The sequence below is a fragment of the Homo sapiens genome, chromosome 11, assembly GCF_000001405.40.
Source record: "Homo sapiens chromosome 11, GRCh38.p14 Primary Assembly".
NCBI classification, from domain to species: Eukaryota; Metazoa; Chordata; class Mammalia; order Primates; family Hominidae; genus Homo; species Homo sapiens.
The window spans coordinates 114,182,346-114,204,791 of NC_000011.10; the positions used below are offsets into that span (position 1 = coordinate 114,182,346).

General features: G+C 46.6%; 1 protein-coding gene across 6 annotated transcripts in view, besides 1 other annotated feature; it reads left to right on the forward strand.

Annotated features, from left to right (window-relative positions):
- The window catches only part of ZBTB16 (zinc finger and BTB domain containing 16), a 197,060-nt gene that overhangs the window by 122,635 nt on the left and 51,979 nt on the right, over positions 1-22,446 (forward strand). For 5 of the 6 annotated variants that reach the window (NM_001354750.2, NM_006006.6, XM_005271658.6 and 2 more), the window contains exon 4: positions 4,607-4,693. The exons of the other annotated variant lie outside the window; for it this stretch is intronic. In NM_001354750.2, coding sequence (NP_001341679.1) covers positions 4,607-4,693 — 87 coding nt within the window. The remainder of the gene's footprint in view (positions 1-4,606; positions 4,694-22,446) is intronic. 6 annotated transcript variants of the gene reach the window in all.
- Positions 4,957-5,016: a silencer, noted in NCBI's record as "silent region_3915". NCBI's record gives its function as "represses an Ori minimal core promoter by ATAC-STARR-seq in GM12878 lymphoblastoid cells {active_cell/tissue: GM12878}" and the evidence as "EXISTENCE:reporter gene assay evidence [ECO:0000049][PMID:35858748]".

Below are 22,446 nucleotides of genomic sequence, written 5' to 3' on the forward strand. Positions count from 1 at the left end.
GGCCCTCTTCATTTAATTTATTTCTCTTTTTATCACTTATCACCACCTGGCCTGTTTTGTATTTACTCGCTCTTTAAAAATCTGCCCTCCCATCTTGAACATAAACTCCCTGAGGGCAGGGATTTCGTCTCTTTTGTTTATTTCCTGTAATCCACCTCTCGGCATATAGCTACTGGACATTCAAAAACCAGCCCCCGTGTGTAGGAAGGATATGGCAAGTCATGGCCATCCCAGAGCTGTGTCCCTGGAGTTCTCCCTACTCCAGGTTGAGCCCCAGGAAATTTTGTGGGTGTAAATGCTGCTGCTAGGTCCATGCGCACCCGCTGTGTTCAGCTGGCGTGACCTTCTTCCCTCCCACTTCGCCCCCTCCCATTGATGCTTTATAAATGTATTAGTGGCTGCATGATGTCACCGTAATGCATTTTGGGAATAGCCATGTGGTTTATACACACTTGAGTTGCTTTGAATGCAAACCTGACATCATACTGAAGGCAGCAGTGAACAACATATGCACAGTAAACAGGCAGAGACTGTCTTATTGATTAACAGATGAGGCCTCTATTATCGATCAAAGCTTGGCGAGGAAATTTATCACTTTTAATTTCAGGGCTGCCAAATATTTCTGCCTCTGAGCCAGCCATTACAGAGACCATTTAAAGGCACAAGCCTCCTCAGGAGAGAGGATTTTGTCTGTCTCGCTCGGCTCCGCTCACGTGTCCATGGAACTGCCTGTCTTTGCTCTCACCCTGGAGAGCTGGGGGGGAAGTCAGAGCCTGTCCGGGTGGGCGTGGGAGTACTGGGGCTTCGTGAGTGGGGGCTAGCAATGGGAGCTGACGTTTGTGTTATCCACGTGTAAGGAGGGACCTGGCCCAGAGTCACTGAGGACAGGGGCTTTCACATGCTCAGCTCAGTGTCGTGACTTCAGCGAGGTGGGGGTGGAGTGGCGGGACTTTGAAGGCAAGCAGATGTGGTCAGGCTTGGGCCGAGGCAGCCGCCTTTACTGATCATGTGTGCTTATCTGTCTTCATCTTCCTCTGCACTTGTCTGATGGTACACATCCGGCCCTTTATTTCCTACCTGGCCTCCTTCCTTTCTCTCTGCTTCTCAGTCATTAAAGCGAGAAGCTCCTCTAGCCCACAGTGATGGCTGTTTTCTAAGAACCCTCCGCGCCACATCCCTTGGAAGCCTGTGGCATGGTGGGCTTCTCGCCGATTGGAGTGCCCTCCCCTTCCCAGCTGGTGCTTCCCTCCTCGGGCCTTTGCTTCCCCTTTCTCCTTTAGGGAGCTGTGAGAGCGGATAGAACCCAAGGAAGAAATACAATTAAAATCAGATTCCTTACAGATCCACAGAAAATCATTGATGGCTGATGATTTGGGACTGGGGGCAGTTTCTAATTGTGAGGGAGCTGTGACTTCATCCAGCCGCAGCTTTCCCATCCAGGCCCACTCTGCTCTTGGAGGTGCTTTCTGCATTTCCAGTGTAAATGGATGAAAGGTAGTCTTGGCTGCTACCCCTGTGAACACATGTCATGACTGCTTTGCTGTCACTGGGGGCTAGAAGTTTTCTTGGCTCTTTCTTCAAAGCTCTCTTAAGCCGTGTACCAGGTGCTTGGCCTGAGGATGCCCTGTGGCGTGAAGGGACACCCAGAGGTCACCATGGGATTCTCCCTGCCTCCAGGTGAAATTCAACCCCAGCCACCTAAGGCAAATGACAATATTTATTTTTAAAGCTCTTCAGTAAAAGTGAGTTCATATCTTCCATGGGGTACTTTATCACCCACTTATCCAGCCAGTCGACTCACATTTATTGAGCACCTACTAGAGTATATCCTGCTCATCAGTAGAAGATAGGTGTCAGTGAGATAGAGAAAGTCGATACCCCCAGAGGACCCCACATTCTAGACCTCCTCTAGGGTCCTCATATTCTTCACTGCAAGAAGCATTCATTGGTATTGAAGTCTGTGCTGGAACAGCTTGTATTTGGAGTTACATTCCTTCAGTATGTGCTGATTCTCCAAGGCAGAGGTTTTCAAATTTCTAGAAAAGTAGTGGAGTCATTTTTCCAACCCCAAAGCCCTGATGTGTAAAATAGGTAAATTGAATTTTCATTCAGAGATGGGAGCTCAGACCCCACCCATGGAGTCTTATCCACAAAACATCTTTGCAGATGGAACCCCAGGGAGGCCGAAGGGTACGGGGATTACTCTGAAATCAGGCTCTGAAATCAGGCTGCCTGTGTTTGAATTCACCTTTACTATGTCAACCACTGTGTGGCATTGGGCAAAGTGCTTAACCTCTCTGAGCTTGAATTTACTCATCTGCTACCTGGAGGTAATGCTAGCATGTACTATAAATGGTGGTTGTTGGGACAAACCATACATACTAAGCATTTAGTGTCATGCCTGGCATATAGTCAAGCCTCAGGAAATCTGAGGTGATTTGAAACAGCACTGTGGGCTACAAATTTGTGTAACAAGTAGTTCTGGCTCGTACGAGGCTCCAATACAAAACTAAAACACAGGCATATTTAAAGAAGAGCTAAGATGACCAGACACAGTGGCTCACACCTGGAATCCCCCAGCACTTTGGGAGACCAAGGTGGGAGGATCGCTTGAGCCCAGGAGCTCAAGACCAACCTGGGAAACACAGTGAGACCTCATCTCTTTAAAATAAATAAATAAATAAAATAAAATAAAATAAACAAAAAAACAGAATTAGTCAGGCATGGTGGCGTGCACCTGTTGTCCCAGCTACTCAGGAGGCTGAGGTGGGAGGATCGCTTGAAACTAGGAGGTTGAGGCTGCCATTAAGCTATGACTGCACCACTGTACTCCAGCCTTGGTGACAGACAGAGACCCTATCTCAAAAACAATGACAACAACAACAAAGCGCTAAGACGTGTTGAAAGGAACAGAGTGCAGTGGCAGATTGGAAAGGACAGAAGAGTAAGGGACTTGAGTGCTTGATGTCCACAAACTGTGGCCTTGAAAATGAAGTGGGATTCGAACAGATGGAAGAATGGGACTGAGCATTGCTCAGGCACAGAGACTCTGGGAAGGTAAGTGGTGCCCAGAGAGGGCCGGTGAGGACAGCTTACCTATGGAGGTGGGTGGCTAACTGGGACAGGTTATGGAAGGCCTTGAAGCCAAGTAGAGGAATTTAGAATCAGTACACATTGGGAGGCGTTGTATCTTCTTGAGTAAGAACGTGTGAGGAATCAGGTGGCTGTAGAGGAACCTGCATCTGTTGAGTAGATTGCGGGTGGCTGGTGGTGTGGAAACCACCTTGCGTCTTACAGTGTTCTGAGTGTGACGCAGCAAGGGCCTGAATGGGGTGGTGATTGCAGTGGAATCACTGCACCCAACGCAGTGGAAGAATGCATCTACCAGACATCTTGAAGGAAAAATGCCAAGACTTGTGACAGCTGACCCCTGGATCAGATAATATAGTAGAGCCATGAAGACTATTAGCCAGTGATAAAAAGTACTGTTTCATCTTGACATGGTGGCATTATCACTTTAAGCCTTCTAAATAACAGTTCTGAGAAAGTTTATTAAATTGAGTTGCACTGAATTAATTTTATTTATTCCACAAATATGTATAGTAATAGGTTTCCAGTGTGTGTCAGGCAGATGCAGCTGTGCACAAGACGACACAGTCCCTCCTCCAGGGAGCTTACGGTGTGGTGAGAGAGAAAGACAGGGCCATAGGCATTTAAAATGGAGCACATAAAGGGCCGAGAGCTGGAACATATCAGGTGCTATGGGAGCATAAAGGAGCATTGCCTCACCTACAGTTGGGGGCCCGGGTATTGAAGTTGATGTATGAATGACGAACAGGAGCTCCAACTGCACCATAGCAGCCAGAGAAGCATGGGAGAATGTCAGAGGCAGAGGACATGCAGAAGAATATGCACAGGCCTAGCAATGGGAAGAACACGGTTCCTCCAGGCAGCCCGCGTGGTTCAGTGTAGCTGGAGAAAAGAGAGCAAGAGTGAGGTGTGAGAGACGAAGCAGGAAAGAGGAGCACACCCAGAAATGCTTTGTGAGTCACAGTAAGGAGTTTGGACCTTGTTCTCCAGGCACAGGGGAGCCATTCAGGGGTTTTAAATGGTCAGATGCAGGTGGCAGTTGGGGGACAGACGATGAGTTTAGTTTTGGACACACTGAGTCAGAGGTCCCCATGGACATCCAGGTTGAGGTATGTCAGCAATTCTTACATTCCCATAAAGTACAGTTTAGGCAACAGGGCACATTTCCCTGTGTTGGTATCATTTTTCTCCTGTCCCCCCCATCACCTGGAGCTAGGTCTTCAGATCCTCCTTCTTCTTGAGGTATCTAACTTGGAACCCATTTCCGTTTATCTTGGTTGTTCTGATTTTGTTTCTCCTTCTCTCTAGAAGAGCCCTAGACAAGGGCATTCAGAATTCAGTTGGGTGAATGCTCACCTCTTGGAGGAGGGTCTGAGCCATGGATGATCCCTCACTCAGGATTTTTGCGGGTGTCCAGTCCCCTTCCCTAGTGTCTACCTGCACAGTTGTGGCCCAGGACCTCCCCGCTCACCAGTGGACTATTGCTCTAGTGGTAACTGCCTCTCCTTTCTTTCAGCGGGTGCCAAAGCCTTTGTCTGTGATCAGTGCGGTGCACAGTTTTCGAAGGAGGATGCCCTGGAGACACACAGGCAGACCCATACTGGTGAGTTGACTTGGATTCCTGTTCTCCAGGTTTTCCACAGTGTTGGTAGCACATGGACATGAACTGTCTGGGTGGCAACCTCTTTTTAGCAAATGTGACATCCAGTAATTTCCTGGGCGAGCTGTGAGTAGGATGGGCTTCTGCCACGTTCAGCTACTCTTGTCTGTGTGGCTGGCCCAGCAGAAGTTTACAAGTATGACATGGCCCCATGAGAATGGCTGTCCTAGATTAGGCCAAGATCTGTCTCTAACCAGCCACTGAGAGCTCATGTTCTTGGAGGTATCTAGTATGCTCTTGTTGAGGCCTTAGTCTGTGTTGTTATCAAAACATCTTCTTCCCTTGGTCAGGAAATCTCTCACACCCATCTGATGAAACTGAAACCCTCGTGTGGCCACAGTTGGCTGGTCCTCCCTCTGCGAGAGCTGAGACATTGTCTAAAATCAGCGTGTACGCAGGATGCATTTGAACAATATTAACTCACGATGATAGAGCTTTATTTGATTTCAAAGGGATTGATTTCACCGCACCAAAGTCATCTGATCATTGTGATCAGAGTCGTTGTCATCACATCATCACAGCAGCTCACACTTAACACTCACAGTGAGGCAGGCACTGTTCTCAGTGCTTTATGTCAGGGGTCCCCAACCCTGGGATCATGGACTGGTGTCTGTGGTGGTCTGTTAGGAACCAGGCTGCATGGCAAGAGGCAAGCGGTGGGCAGGCAAGTGAAACTTCATCTGTATTTACTGCTGTTCCTCATTGCTCGTATTACCACCTGAGCTCCTCCTCATGTCAGAGCAGCAGCAGCAGCAGCAGCATTAGATTCTCATAGGAGCACAAATCCTATTGTGAACTGTGCATGCAAGGGATCAAGGTTGCATGCTCCTTATGAGAATCTAATGCCTGATGATCTGTCACTGTCTCTTGTCAACCCCAGATGGGACCATCTAGTTGCAGGAAAACAAGCTCAGGGCTCCCACTAATTCTACATTATGTGAGTTGTATAATTAGTTCATTATATATTATAATGTAATAATAGAAATAAAGTACACAATAAATGTAATGTGCTTAAATCATCCCAGGACCACCCTCCTGTACTCCGCTGTATGTGAAAAGGTTGTCTTCCATAAAACTGGTCCCTGGTGCCTAAAAGGTTGGGGACCACTGCTTTACGTGATCCCATCTGGCCAATCTCTCAGTAACCCTGTAAGGTAAGGTTGGAAGCTACTCTTATGTCATAGATGAGGAAACTGAGGCTGAAAGGAGGGAAAGTGACTTGCTGGAGTTGGTAGTGGGGACAGGCGTGGTAGAGTCTTATAGTTCAGAGCTGAGACTGCATGGGTTTAATCCTGACTCTGCCACTTCCTATTTGTGGGGCCATGGATAAATTATTTAAACTCTCTTAATTTAGATTTCTCATCTGTTAGAAAAGTGGAGTAATATTAGTGTCTACCTCATAGCATTAGGGTTGTTGTGGGGATGAAATAAGGTATTTTATTTGAAGTATTTCATGGAGTGTTTGGCTCATAGTAAGCACTCAATAAATAGTAGTAGGTATATTTAATGTAATAGATATTTATTGAGTTTCTACAAGGTGCTGGCACTGTTTAGGCATTTAAGATGTAGTAATGCATGAGACAGACGACATTGCTGCCTCTCATGGAACTGAGCTTCTAGCTGGGAGACAGAATCAGCAAATAAATATACGATATCATGTCTGCTTATACATATTAAGTGCTACTGGAAAAGGATAAGGAGTAGAGAATAATAGGGAGAAAAGAAATATTGTGGATATTTAGGGAGAAATGTTGTGGATAAAATGGTTAGGGAAGGCCTCTCCAAGAAGGTGGTATCTGGGCAGAGTCTTAAAAAGTGAAGGAGTGAGCCACTCAAAAATTTCTGGGAAGAATGTCTAAGCAAAGGGAGTGAGCATTTGCAGAAGCCCTGAGGCTGGATCAAGCCTGACAAGTTTAAGGACCCACACGCAGAGCAGTGGTGGCCAGAGAGCTGGGAGTGACGTGTAGAGAGTGGTGAGGGATGAGGACAGGATCTGTCAAGTCTCTCAGCCCTGGTAAAAGATTTGGGTTTTACTCTGCATGTGCTGAGTCCTTTGGAGGGTGACAAAATATTTGCAAATCATATATTTGATGAGGAACTTATAGCTAGAAATAGAAAGAGGTCTTATAATTCAAAAAACATAAACAAATAATCAAATTAAATAATGGGCAAAGGTTCTGAACAGACATGTCTCCAAAGATAGACAAATAGCCAATGAGCACATGAAAAAGATGCTCAACTGCATTCACCATCAGAGAGATGCAAATCAAAACCACAGTGAGATACTGCTTCACACCCACTACAATGTGGCTACAATAAAAAATACAGATAGTTACAAGTGTTATCAAAGATGTGGAAAAACCAGAACTCTCATGGGAGTGTAAAATGGTGTAGCCACTTTGGAAAACATTCTGGCAATTCCTCAAGAGGTTAGCTGAGGCAGGCAGATCATGAGGTCAGGAGATCGAGACCATCCTGGCCAACATGGTGAAACCCCGTCTCTACTAAAAAAATAGAAAAATTAGCTGGGCGTGGTGGCATGTGCTTGTAATCTCAGCTACTTGGGAGGCTGAGGCAGGAGAATCACTTGAACCAGGGAGTCGGAAGTTGCAGTGAGCTGAGATTGAGCCACTGCACTCCAGCCTGGCGTCAGAGTGAGACCCCGTCTCAAAAAAAAAAAAAAAAGGTTAAACACAGAATTATCATACGATGCAGCAGTTCTTCTTTTAGGTATACAGCCAAGAGAAGTGAGAATATATGTTCACACAAGAACCTGTACGTGAATGTTTATAGCAGCATTATTCATAATAGCCAAAAAATGGAAACAACCCAATGTCTATCAACTGGTGAATGGATAAACAAAGTGTGGTATATTCATACCATGGTATACTATTTGGCCTTAAAAAGGAATGAAGTACTGATACATACTACAACACAGATGAACTTGAACATGCTCCATGAAAGAAGCCAGATGCAAAATGATTCTGTTCATGTAAAATATCTAGAATAGGCAAATCTATAGAGACAGAAAGTAAATTAGTAGGTGCCAGGGGCTGGGGAAGTTGCGAGGAAATTGAGAGCGACTGCCGATGGAGCTGGAGTTTCTTCATGGAGTGATGAAAATGTTCTAAAATTGATTGTGGTGATGACTGCACAGCTTCGAATACTGAGGCTCCTCGACTTACAATGGGACTGTGTCCTGATAAACCCATCATAAGTAGAAAAGATAATAAACTGAAAATGCATTTAATCCAACTAACCTACTGAACATCATAGCTTAGCCTAGCCTACCTTAAATGTGCTCAGAACACTTACATTAGCCAACAGTTGGGTAAAATCATCTAATATAAAACCTATTTTATAATAAAATTGTTGAAGATCTCATGGAATTTATTATATCCTGTACATGACTTCAAAACTGTGATGGTTTCCCACAATTATAAACTTGAAAAATCCTAAGTCGGGGACCATTCTGTGTATTAGTTGAACTGTACACTTTAAAAGACATGAATTTTATATTAAATGGTATGTGTATTAGGTCTCTGAAAAGCGGCATGGGTGTGTACATGTATATAAATGAGCTCTGCCAGTGTCAGTAAGAGTCACTGGCATCACTCATGCCACCTCTCTCTCATACACACACACACACACACACACACACACATATATATACACACATGTGTATACATACACACACAAACAGAGTGACGTGCCATGTATTAAGCCGTTCTTGCATTGCTGTAAAGAAATGCATGAGACTGGGTAATTTACAAAGAGGTTTAATTGGCTCACAGTTCTGCAGGCTTTCCAGGAAGCATGATGCTGGCATCTGCTCAGGCTCTGGGGAGGCCTCAGGAAGCTTACAATCATGGTGGAAGGCAAAGGGGGTGCAGGCATGTCACGTGGCCAGAGCAGGAGCTAGAGAGAGAGAGTTGGGTGAGGGAGAAGCAGCTGCACACTTTTAAATGACCAGTTATCTAAGAGAACTCACTCATTGTCATGAGAATAGCACCAAGAGGTTGGTGCTAAACCATTCAGGAGAAATCCACCCCCATGATCCAATCACCTCCCACCAGGCCTCACCTCCAGCATTGGGGATTACAGTTCAACATGAGATTTGGACAGGACAAATATCCAAACTATATTACACCATATAATAATAACATTTTGGTCAACAATGGATTGCATATATGACAGTGGTCTCATAAGATTATAATACCGTATTTTTACTGTGCCTTTTCTACATTTAGATGTGTTTAGATATGTAAATACTTACCACTGTGTTATAATTGCCTGCAGTGTTTAGTACAGTAGCATGCTGTAAAGGTTTGAAGTCTAGGAACAATTGGCTGTCCCATATAGCCTAGGTGTGTAGAAGGCCGTACCATCTAGGCTTATGTAAGTGTGCTCTAGGATGTAGCCTAGAAGCTACCCACTAGGAAGTGGAGAGCTGGAACTTGACCCAACTCACGTGCTCTTTCCACGACTCCCCAGCTGCCTGCACATTGACTGAGTGTTGTCCGTGGGCTAAAAGGCTCAGGATCATTTAGCTCACTGCCTTGTCATGGGCAGGGCTCTTTTGGCTCGCTGTGCCCTATTTAAGACAAAATTGTCTAATGAAACATTTCTCAGAACATATCCTTATCACTAAGTGACATTTGACTATACACACATGCATGCACGCACATATACACACACACGCATACGTAGCTTTACTGAGATATAATACATATACACACACAGATGTGCATTTATAGGGAAGGGGGAAAAGTAGTCCATTGGAGGGTTTTGACTGGGAGAATGACATGACTTGATTTATGTGTTTAAAAGATTATTCTGGCTCTTGTGTTGCGGACTGACCATAGAGAGTGTTGTCATGTAACAAACCACTCCAATAGTAGCTTAAAACAATAAAGTGTTATTGTCTCTGACAGTTCTTTGGATAACTGGGCTCAGCTGGGTGGTTTTCACTTGGGGTCTCATGTGGTTTCCATCAGGTAATGGCTGGAGCTGGTGTCATCTGAAGACTCGACTGGGCTGGATGTCCAAGATGGCTCCTTCACTCAATTATCTGAGTCTCAGTGTTCCTTTGCATGGCTTCTCTCTTCAGCAGAGTAACCTGGACTTGCTGTGTGACAGCTCAGGTTTCCAGGAGTCAGGACACAGGAACTGCCAGCCCTCTTAAAAGCTAGGCTGGAAGTACACAGCATTACTTCTACCATATTTCATCAATCAGATAGTCACAGGTCAGCCCCAGATAGAAGGCGGTGGAAGGCTGGACTCTCCTTCTCAGTAGGGAAGTGACAGAAACCTATAGGGAAGGAGGAATTGATGGCAGTCATCTTTGGAAACAAGCTACCACAGGGGACTAAAGTGGAAGAAGGAAGAACACCAGTCAGCTGCTGTTAAGATTATTGTCATCAGTATTTCAGCGTTCTTGTCCTTGCCTTTTCTGAGTGGAAAACATGCCTCCTGACTGGCATCTTGAGCTTTGGTCTGGAGGGGCCTTGCCCTGTCATGATGGGAGGGGAGCTTTACAGGTGAGCTGTCATTCCAGTCAGCATCTCCCTAGCTCAGTTATAGAGAAAGTGACCTGGCTAGGTTATTTTGCCCAGGGTTCCAGAGGTGGTTGTCATGAAAGCAAGGGGAGAACCGGGTCTCCCAGGGTCCCAGCCATTTTCTTATTGCTAGACCGCATGTAACTGAGAATCCCACTCTGAGAGTTCTAATCTGGGGGAATGAGCTGTGAGCCAGCTTTGCCAAGCAGCTTAATTCTGTCCATCCAGATTAAATTTGCAGCAGCAGGGAGCCAGCTGCCCTCTCAGCCAGGGGCAGGGGAGTAAGCTGAGTCCCCGAGGGATGAGCAGCTGTGGAGGCTGTTCCTAGGCGGACCCCAGACATATGGAGCACCCCCTGTGTGCCTGGCACCTGCTGGGGATATGATGGTGACCAACTCAGGCACATGCCCTGTTCTTGAAATAAGCTGAAGGTCTGAATGTGGTGGTCTGGGCCTTTTGTTTTTTCCCCAGAGATCTTGTGGATGGGGCTCCTCAGCTGGAGGAGGGAGAGGTCAGCTACCGAGTGCCCCCTGCTGATGTTGAGGTAAAATGTGGCTTGCTCAATAGGCCACATGTGGTGTGCTCAATAAAGATTGAGTAAACTGAGCTCTTGAAAGGATGGGGAATGGAGAAAATGAATCCAAATTAGGGGTGAGAGACCAAGGTGGATGCTTTGAGAAGGGCTCCCTGCCAGCCTTAGTGTGAGCTGTGGGCGAGCTCCCCCAGCAGGGAAGAGCCACTTCCTTGTGTGGGGCAGGTGTCGTGCTCAGTGCCGAGGGGAGATACAACAGCAGTTTTACCCTCAGGATAGGGCTGGCAAAGAGGGGTCCTGTGTGACCATGGTGACTCTTTCCGACATGTGGCAGAGCTCATTCATCACTCACAGCGCTACTTCCTGCTGAACTCAGGTGGATTTTTAGTTCCCCTAATAATCAATGAGAGAATACAGTCTGAAATCTATTTGCCCTCTCTGTTCCAGGAAAGGGGTCCCAGGAGGAAGGGAGTTGCCTGATGACAGGGAGCGCTGAAAATGTCACTAAAGCTATTGGAGTGGGAAAAGCCAGGTGGGAGACCAGGTACCGTTGGGAAGCCAACGGGAGAGTAGGTAGGGAAGAGCTCTGAAAAAGAGAAGGAATGGAGACCCTGGGACAGTAAAAATACTGCCAGTGCCACTTGATATTTTTGCTACCTTAGTTTATAAAACAATTTCCTTGATTACACCCATTTAACAGATGAGACCATGGAGGCCTAGACACTACCCACTAGGAAGTAGAGAACTGGAACTTGACCCAACTCCAACTCAAGTGTTCTTTCTACTACTCCCTGGCTGCCTCCGCACTGACTGAGTGTTGTCCAGTAGTCTGTAGGCTGATTGGTTCCGGGTGATCCTGTTTAGAGGTCATTGAGTTCATGGCCCTGCCTGGGAAGAGCTCTTTTGGAACCCTGTGCTCCATTGCACTAAGAAGCCGCAACACCCTGATGTGTACATCCTCCTCCTGGAGTAGGATACAGTTTGCCTGAATCAGATCAGTTTCATATCCAAGGCTGCCATGTGGGAGTTCATGGAGCTCACGTGTGGCTTTGCATAGGGCAGGTGGTTATGGTGTTGTACAGGTATTCTTGAAACTGGAAAATGAATTTAATGGAAACTATTTCCAATTCCAGCCTATCCAAGAGAATGGCATGTTCACATCTCACCCTTTTGACCCTATTTGACCTGGATTTCTGTCCTGGTGTGTGTGACCCCTCCTTGCCCCCTGCCCTCAAGATCTTGACGGGCTCAAGCTGGTGTTCTAGGAGGCCACGCTTATGGTTGGGCTGGGCTCAGGCTTTGTTGTCACATTCAGTTTTCTGTTTTGGTACAACGAAGGCTTTGAGGAGATAAACAGAGATCATTTTACACCTTTTATATTATGACAAATACATATTGCAAAACACTGCTGCTTCCAAAATGTTTGGGTTGCAGAGCAGTGAGGAATTAACAGCTAGGCAGTTCCCGAGATGCTTGTACTTCATTTACACATCAGAATTTTTTTTACACTGTTCAGTAAAATAAAAGTGAGAAAACACACATACGTGCACGTGCACACCCCCATGCACACCCAGTGCACCACCTGGCTTCTATATCAGGAATGTCTTAAATTAGTAAGTAGTTCTTTAAGTCCAGATAAACTGATAAATACCATTAATGGCTTAATTTATTCTCTGGGTTTGAAATTTGACACACGGACACTATCTTGGCTCAGGAAACACAAGTGGTTTTGTGCCAGAGGTTTTAATGACCGATCAGTAATATAAATTGCTGCATCACTGAGCAGAAATAGCTTCTCCATGTCATTTGATCTGGAAACTTCTCTGGCCAGGCAGCAGTTAATAAATTTAAAAATAATTACCCTCTTTATTCAAAGTCAAACTAATTAGGAGTGGGTTTTACAAATCATAATGTTGTTCAAGCCACTGTACATCCCCATTTGGGACTTGAACAGGCCTGGGGGCAACAGACAGGATCCGGTGGTGTTAATTAGAGGGCAGCGAGATAACTTGGCTGCTGAGCTCCAGGGTAGGAGGCCGGGCAGTCTTCAGCATGCCCTCGGGAGAAAATGGGAGGTCTGAGCAAAGAGGCCATGAGGGTGACCTGTAGGAACCTTCAACTCTTTCAGTCCATCTGTAGGGGACCCAGAGCAGCCACCTATTGGTAATGTGAACATGGGGGAGTTGGGGCCAGGGCTGGTCTGTGTGGGCCTGGCCAGAGAGACTGAGGGAGTCAGGGAGCAGGAAAGGGGGATGGGCAAATGACTGCCTGGGGACAAGAGACCTGCCTGAAGGCAGGGAAGTGGATGGGATGATCTCTAGAGGACATTACTTCCTAGGAAAGTTTGAGCCCTAACAGAGTGGTGCAGGTTTGTCATGCAGATTGCAGGGAAGAGGAACCCCATGAAGCCTAAAGTCAGAGTGTCAAGTGCAGGGTATTTGGTGCACAGTGACCCAGAACTTGGGATCTGGTGTCAGACTATCTAGATTCCAATTCCAGCCCCATCACAGATTGGATAATCTCAATATAGGCCTCGCATGGAGTAAGTGCTCAGGAAATGGAGGTGCCAGTTTCTCTCATCGCATCATCCTGGTCTTCCTCAGAGGCTTCTGAGAACATGGATTTCCCCCACTGGATAGGTTGACGGGGCCAAGTCAGTGAGGATGGTGTTGGAGGAATAGGAACAGTATACACCTGCTTTGCAAGGCCATGGTGAGGTCTTCCAGGATCCCTGACTATGTCCTCCGGCCAAGAGGACATTTGCAATGTGCCCACTGAGTTAACAGCCACTGGGGCCCTCTCAGTGCAGTTGAAAGAAGTGAGGGCAGATTGAAGCTCCACACTTTGAGCAATCTCAGGGAGCAGATTTGGTAGATCTTAAGGCCCTGAGGTCTGGAATGCCCAAAGCTTCCCAAAGGAACCATTCCCTGTTGGTGTCTAAACAGGTGATGTGTAAACCCAGGCCAGACAGGCCGCAAAACTGGAATCGAGACTAAGCAGGTGTACCAGCCTCCAGGAGCACCAGGCCTGTGCCCTTCCACGTCTTAAGAGGAGGCTTCAGTGACTGGTGCCCTCAAAGGCTCAGGAATTTTGGGTTCCTGGTAGGGTCCTGAACCATGTCTGCTATCACCAGGAACCTGGGTATTCCCTATCTCTTGACTTCTTCAAATAGAACCTTCCACCTCATCCTACCTTTTCGCCAGTAAGAAAAAAGAGGCAAGGTCATTCCTAGGTTTAGAAGTTCTGAGGCTGGGAAGCTTAAGGGCACCCTCTGCAGGCCCAGGGTACTAGGTTGAACTAGACCCTAGACTTACCCTGGAGGAATTCAGCTCTCTCCTCCAGCCCTCAACCTGCCCTGCAAGGTCTGCCAGGTTAGTGACTCAAGTTTGCTGTGAGAGTAGCCTGTGTAGCTGGCTTATCCTGTAGTTCCTTCATTTCCTCATTCTCTGAGTTTTTAAGTACCTACTGTATGCTAGGTGCTTTGTGGACTTAATACATAATAGTGAACAGAAATTGGGCCCTGCCTTCCTGAAGGTTACGGTGTTATGAAGGAAATGAGCATGTAGGTTGAACTTGCCTTAGGTACAGATAATTCAATAGCTGTACTCTTTTGGATACTTTTGAGTTATTATTTTTATTAAGTCTTCACTATAGTCCAAAAATATAGACCTTTTTTCCTCCCTAATCTTTGCCAGAGAAAACTGAGTCCCAGAAAGGTTAAGGAAGACCAATCTGGGGCAGGACTTGAATGTGTGCCTTGGGCTTCTGTACCCCAGAGCCCACATTTTAGCATTGTCTTCCCTCCCTGTGGGGGCCTGGGCATCAGCTCTCATGTGCGGATCAATGGATCAAAGCCCCTATTTGAAAAAGGGGGTCAGTTAAGAACACACAATCCAAACTAGAATTAGGGCCCACGAGTTCAGCCCAAGGTTCTCTCCACTGTGACTACAAAATAAGTACTTTCTTTTACTGGCCTAGAAAAGGTTGCTTAGTTTCCACATTACTGCGTCACAGGGGAAGCCACTCAACCAGATGCAAATGTTGAGATGCTGGTTCTCATCCACTGTGTTGTCGGCTGCAAGAGTCTTGCAGTCCAGAAACGGCATACCTCTGGCGGCTGAGGGTCCATGCTGTGGACTCTGCCCTTCCCTTCTAGCAGGGAGTGGGCATTGGAGGGAACCCCACCCAAAGGGTCCTCTTCGTTTCAGTGTGAAGGAGTCTAGGAGGCATATACTCTGTCTTCCCCCCACTCTCTGTTTCTCTCTCTTTGTCTCTCTCTCTCTCTTTGCACTGTGTGGCCTCCCCCTTTGGAGGTGCAGAACTGTCTCTCCAACCTTGGTGTTGGCTGCCTGCTTGCACTGGCCCCTCTCTCCTGATATGTTAATAATATTTGGAGGAAGCTTCAGAGACAGTCCCTGGCTCTGAACTTCAGAGTAGAAAATGAAGTCCTTGTTTGGAGAATTTTCTGTAGTGGGTGATCATGGTGGGGGCAGGGGGTGGGGTGGGAGTAGCAGGCAAGACAGAGGATTTATTTTATTTTAATTATTATTTTTGAGACAGAGTCTCGCTCTGTCGCCCAGGCTGGAGTGCAGAAGGCAGAGGATTTAAAAGGGTGAGCAGCAACGCTCCTTCCCTCAGGATAGCTGCTGGCCTTGCCCCCTCCTGCCCTGAGCTTGGCACGAGGGACAGTGCTGGGCACCAAGGAGTCCTGTAATGATAGGAAAACTGGCAACTGTTCTAGTTCCTGCTCTCAAGAACAGCCTCCCAGTGGCTGGTCCCAGAGGAGCTGGGAGGGGGCCAGATGATGACAAATAACTTAATCTACCTAAACTTTACATGAAAAAAAAAAAAAATCCAAACGAACCTCAAACCTCTGTCCAAGGTGGAGGGTATCGGGGAGGACAGGACAGTGAGTCATCAGAGGGACAGGCAGACTCCATGTGGTTTGCTGTGACCTCCCCATTGAAAACATAATAGCATTTGACTTTTATAAATATCAGAGGTGATTTGTATAGCATTTCACATTCTGTGCCAAGGAATTTAACATGAGAAAGCTCAGGCTGAAGAACGGCCGCGGAACGTCATAGGCACTTTGGGAGGAGGGTCATGTGCTGCTGTTTGTACAGTCAGTGCCCCAGCATAGATTTACTCTTGACCTAATTTCATGCTGTTACTATAAAGGCATGTTTGATGCCTAATATAGAGTTTTATTTTCCAAGCACAGGGGCTCTCGGCTGTGCTGGAGCTGCTTGCTGTAGAGTAGGGAGGAACAACCCAGCCGTCTCCTGCTGGCCCAGACCAGCTATTCTTTCTCTCCATTGTTCACCCTAGTGGCTCCCAGGGCCCCTCTGGCCACCTTCTGGAGGGGCCCCCGATACTCTTTTTTAAATTAATAAATTTCATTTTTTTAAGAGCAGCTTTAGGTTATAGCAAAATGGAATGGAGAGTATAGAGTTCCCACTGTACCCCCGTCCTCACACGCAAGTGCACAGCCTCCCCCACCATCAACATCCCACGCCACATGGGTGGTACATTTGTTACAATTGGTGAGTCTACGCTGGCACATCATTGTCACCCAGGGCCCACAGTTCACATGAGGGTTCACTCCTGGTGGTGTACAGTCTGTGGATTTGGACAGACATGTAAGGACACGCATTCACCATTTTTGTATCATACAGAATAGCCGCTTCACTGCCCTGAAAGTCCTTTGTGCTCTGCCCTTTCATCACCCCAGCACATTTTATATGAAGCATCACTGCCCTGGACAGTGATTTGAGGGGATCAGTGGTGTTTGGCTCTTTTGGGATTGGAGAAGGAGAATTTAAGCAAGGCAGGTTTGGATTAGAAAGGGCTGAAGCTCATTTCCTCCACAGACATCTTGAGTGTTTCTCGATGCCAGACATGGATGCTGGGTCCTGGGATAGGGATTTTGGACATGTATGCTGGGACCTGGGACCGGGATGCCAGACACGGATGCTGGGCCCCGGGACGGGGATGCCGGACATGGATGCCGGGCCCCGGGACGGGGATGACGGACATGGATGCCGCTGGGCCCAGGGACGGGGATGCCGGACATGGATGCCGCTGGGCCCAGGGACGGGGATGCCGGACATGGATGCCGCTGGGCCCCGGGATGGGGATGCCGGACATGGATGCCGCTGGGCCCCGGGACGGGGCTGCTGGACATGGATGCCGCTGGGCCCCGGGACGGGGATGCTGGACATGGATGCTGGGCCCCGGGATGGGGATGCCAGCCATGGATGCCGCTGGGCAGTGGGCAGGACACAGACCTTGCCCTTCCCCGGCCTCCCACCCTAGTGGAAATGTGATTGCAGATTACCATTGGGGATGTGGAGGCAGCATGGTGTTTGGAAGCAATAATGAATTAGGAGAAGGAGAACTAGGTTCTTATCCTGGCTCTGCTATGGACTTGCTTCATATGGGACAAATGGCTTCGTTTCCTTGCTTCTCTCAAAGGTAGTGTGTAGGAATTGGGCAAGAAAAGTACTGTTTGGGGGGTTCTGTGGTTCCAAGGACAGCCTAAGATTCTGATCTTGCATTGATGGTCTGTATTTTTCTCAACCTTAGTTTTTCACATTTGTAAACTACGATTAATAATCATAATGGTTGCTGTAAGAACTACATAAAACCATACATGTGGGGCCGGGCACGGTGGCTCACACCTGTAATCCCAGCACTTTGGGAGGCCGAGGTGGGCGGATCATGAGGTCAGGAGATCAAGACCATCCTGGCTAACATGGTGAAACCCTGTCTCTACTAAAAATACAAAAAATTAGCCGGGCTTGGTGGCGGGCACCTGTAGTCCCAGCTACTTGGGAGGCTGAGGCAGGAGAATGGTGTGAACCCGGGAGGCGGAGCTTGCAGTGAGAAGAGATCACGCCACTGCACTCCAGCCTGGGGGACAGAGCGAGACTCCGTCTCAAAAAAAAAAAAAGAAAAAAAGAAAAAAAAAATCATACATGTGAAGCCCTGAGCCCTGGGAAGGAGGACTGATGTATGCATAAGTGGTAGCTGCTTGCTACTGTTATTTTTAGAGGCCTGCAGTTTCTGTCCCTCACCAGTAGACAAGAATTCCTCCACTTTATTTAGTAGCTTATTCAGTAACAGTGTATTAAATACCTACTGTGTCTGAAGAAGGGATTAAAGATGAAGATCTTTTGCCTCTTAAAAACTGTTCTAGAAATTGGAGGGGAAGGATAGAGTCTGATCTTTGAGGACTATTATTCAGAACGTGGTCTGTGCCCAGCACTGTGGCTTTTTATGTATGGTCCAATATAGTCATCAGGACACCACTAAGGGGGGCTTCACTGTCTGCATCACTGATGAGGAATCACAGGCCCAGAGAGGCTTAAATAATATGACTCATCCAGTGGCAGGACTGGGATTCCAGGTTGGTGTTTTCTTGGGGTGATCTGGCAGGACTCACCGTCCTCACTGGTCTGAGTTGCCCCTTCACTCTCAGAATTGTCCCCACATCCGAGTCCTGAATAATCAACCTCAGTTCTTGATCTCAGGTTTCCACTCGTCTCCCCTCGTGCCCATGCTCAGCCCCTCAAGCTTCTCCTTTATCCCTCTCTCTCCCACTGTCCACTCCTGTGTTTCCTCTCTGACTTCTCACCCTTCTCCTTAGTGACGCCATGGCTGCCTGATGACAGAAAGGAGTTAATAAAAACCAATGTGTAACTGAAACTTGAAAGGCCATAAATTGCCTTGTTTTTTCTAGGATGTTGGTAGCATTTTGATTTAATAGTTGGACAAACACAAGGGCCTATTTTATTCAGAGTTTACAGGCCTCAAGGCTGTTATTCCTCCAAAGTTAATAGCATTGAAATTGCAGGGTTTGCTATAATTTGCCTATCGCTTTCTGCTCCACCATTGATGTTTACTGTCAGCGGGATGGAATCTCAATCCGACTCACTTAGATAACATGTCTGTTAAACATTTAGATAATTGTACCATCATTAACTTGTCACATTATTTTAGAGATTCAAAACAGAGGCAGGGTAAGTAGAGGTACCCAAAGGGAGTGGAGGTGGGAGGAGGGGGAGGAGGAGGAGGAGGAAGAGACAACCTCTTCTGAGTTAGACAGCCAGGAGAGGAGAAAGTTCATTGCACACCTTGGCATCTCATTGGAGGTGTCTAAGTTAAGGAGGTACGTGCCACCAAGCCGGGCCCAGGGTTGCTCCCTGAGGAATCCGGGGACCAGTGTCTCAACCACCGACCGCCGTGGCAGTAGGGCCTGTTATCAGCAGGCCCCTGAGACAGTGTGGCAAATGCTCAGAAACCCTTGGCGTTTCATCCCCGACTTTGGCCTTTATGTACCAAAGTTTCTAAGCTTTCCTTAGGGATGCTGATTGCAACACTATTTGTAATTGCAAAGCAATGAGAATGACCTAAATATCCAAAAGTAAGGAATCTGTCAATGATGGTATGGAAAGATGTCCATGATGTTTTGCATGATAAAAGCTGATTAGAGAAATCAGGTTATATAGTGTGGTCCCATTTCATATAAAATACTAAAGCCACCCTATAAGACTCTGTAATGCTCTATACCTGTTAACAATGATTATCTTTAGAAGTGGGATTATAGGGCAAAGGTGTTCTACTTTCTGCTTTATCTATTTTTGAGTAATAATAATGATGATTTACAAGCACATATCACTTACATAATTTTAAAAATTAAAGTCACTTTATAAATAAGAAAAATATCACCTTCAAGTCTCATTCTGTGTATGGAAGGAGGACTTCTAAAAAGAAAAGGCTGCAAGTACAAATAAATGAGTTTTGGGAGCGCTCATGGACATCAGTATCTCAGCCACACTGGCAGGTGCCTCAGTTTCCCACTGTTAGAACAGATAAATGCCAGATGGAGAATGCAGCACAGGGGAATGGGCCTGTGCCAGCACTCAGAGGTCAGGGCTGCTGTCTTGTTCACTATGGGCCTGACGGAGGAAGTGAGTAAGAAGAGAGCTTTTTCTTACACCGACATAAGGACTGAGGTCACACCTGGAGGGGGTGACAGAGGCCACAAATAAGAATGAGCTCAGCTGGAAGTGGGAGTGACTCCCCATATGGGAGACTTGGGGATCAATTAAATATCAACAGTAGTGGGGCACTGAGCTTGGAATACAAAACTGCCCTCGAGAAATAACGGGGTGTTTGCTCCCTGTTCCCATGGTACCACGAGGTCACAGAGGTGACTACAGTGCTGTCCATCTGGCTTTGGACACTGTTATCTCCTGCATTCCCAGGGCCTTCTGTGTGACCTGGGCGAGAGAACTGTCACTATTGCCTCTCTCCAATCTGTGTGTGCCCCAGTGACACAGGCAATAGGAAAAATGTTTCCCCAACTGTACCGTAAATAATGCAGATATTTGGGCGTGGGAGAAACAAATAATATCAATATTTTATAGACTGTAGGCTAAATAATGTATATATTTAGAAAAGCGGCTTAAATATTTCATATGCTGCAGTGAAGATTCCTGCTTAGAGGCATAATTTGGGCTGGTGAGGGCTGTGGGTTAAGGATGCAGTCCTGCGGAGCCCCGGGGTGAGGGGGCAGAGGGGAATGCAGTAAAAGTGTGTGTGTGAGATTGGAGTGTGGCAAGGACAGGCAGGTATCACTTATTTGGAACCCAAGTAGTTGGAAGTCTCAGATTTTTTTTAACTGTCCTGTGCTCTTTTTGTTTTTAATGTGGGAGAGAGACAAATGACAACCTAATAACAAGAATTTATTTTCAAAAAGTAACTTCCAACCCAAGAGAATTGAAAATGTGTCCACATAAAAACTTACTCATGAACATTCATAGCAGTGTTGTTCACAATAGCCAAAAGGTGGAAACTACCCAATTGCCTATCAGCTGATGCATGGATATACAAAATGTGGTATATCCATACCATGGACTATAATTTGGCCATAAAAAGAGTAAAATATTGATGCATGTTACAGCATGGATGAACTTTGGAAATCCCGTGCTAAGTGAAACAAGCAAGACATGAAAGGCCATGAATTAGATGATTCCATTTATGTGAAAATGTTCAGAACAGAGAGCTCTAGACAGTTAGTAGATTAGTGGATGCCACAGGCTTGGGGAAAATGAGAAGTGACTACTAATGGGTATGTGGTTCCTTTTTGGAGTGATGAAGATATTCTGGAATTAGATAGTGGTGGTGATGGTATTCAGCTTTATGAATACATTAAAAACCAATAAAAGGGCCGGGCACAGTGGCTCATGCTTTGGGAGGTTGAGGCAGAAGGATCACTTGAGCCCAGGAGCTTGAGGCTGCAGTGAGCTTTGATGGCACCACTGTACTCCAGGCTGGGTAACAGAGCAAGACCCTGCCTGTTAAAAACAACCCCCCCGCCCCCCTGCAAAAACAACAACAACAAAAACATTAAAAGGGTGGAATTTTATGGTACATGAATTATATTTCAATTAAAATAAAAAACAACTTCCAGGTATGTTGTTGGTTCTTACAGACTTAACCCAACCTCCTATACCTGCGGCATCACAGGACTGCAGGTAACGCTTTGCATCATAGTGACCATTCAGACAGTGCAGGAGACTGTGGCACCTTTAGAATCATTCTATTCACAGAAGGCAGCAGGGAGTAGGGGTGGCTCTGGGATGCCTCCTTGCCCTCCCCATTCCTCCATTTTCAGAAACAGGAAGGAAGGATCAGGTCTGAACTCTGATCTGGTGAAGTAGTGAGTCCGACATCTGCAAAGTCAGGAGGAGACGGGGTAGTTGCGTCTGTGTAGATTTCTAGAAGAAAAGCCAGCCATCATCTGGCCTGGGAGGAGTCACTCTTGTCAAAAGCAAGACACGGATGGTATTGACCCAGGCACCCCATTTTAAGAAAAATCATACCTGTAATACGGCTTCAGTGTGGGGAAATTAGAAAATACTTACAAACAAAAGAAATATGTTCTCTGTGTCCCACTATCTTTTTTTTTTTTTTTCTGAGACACAGTCTTGCTTTGTTTTCTAGGCTGGAGTGCCATGGCACGATCTCGGCTCACTGCCACCTCTACCTTCCGGGTTCAAGCGATTCTCCTGCCTCAGCCTTCACAGGCATGCACCACCATGCCCGGCTAATTTTTGTATTTTTTAGTAGAGATGGGGTTTCACCATGTTGGCCAGGCTGGCCTCAAACTCCTGACCTCAGGTGATCCACCCACCTCACCCTCTTAAAGTGCTGGGATTACAGGTGTGAGCCACCACACCCGGTCTCATTTTTCTTTTATTCACAAATGGGGCTATGATATTCAGTGCATACTGTTTTGTAATCTGTGATTTGCCTACCAACAGACCTATGTCTTGATGATCATTTTAATGGTTTCCCAGTGTTCTCCCTACACCCATTCGTTTTTTTCTCCCCATGATCTCTGATGTTCCTTACTTGTGCACCAGGGACCAGACCCTGTATCCAGAGGACCTTCCAGGGGCTCCAGGCAGGAGAAGTGGCTAACAGAGATGCAGCTCATTACCACCTCTCACCTATTGCTGCTTCTGTCAACAAGATAAACTGGGCCCGCCAAGCAGTTTTGCAGTAGCTGTTTACTCGACCATCCCAGGCAAGCT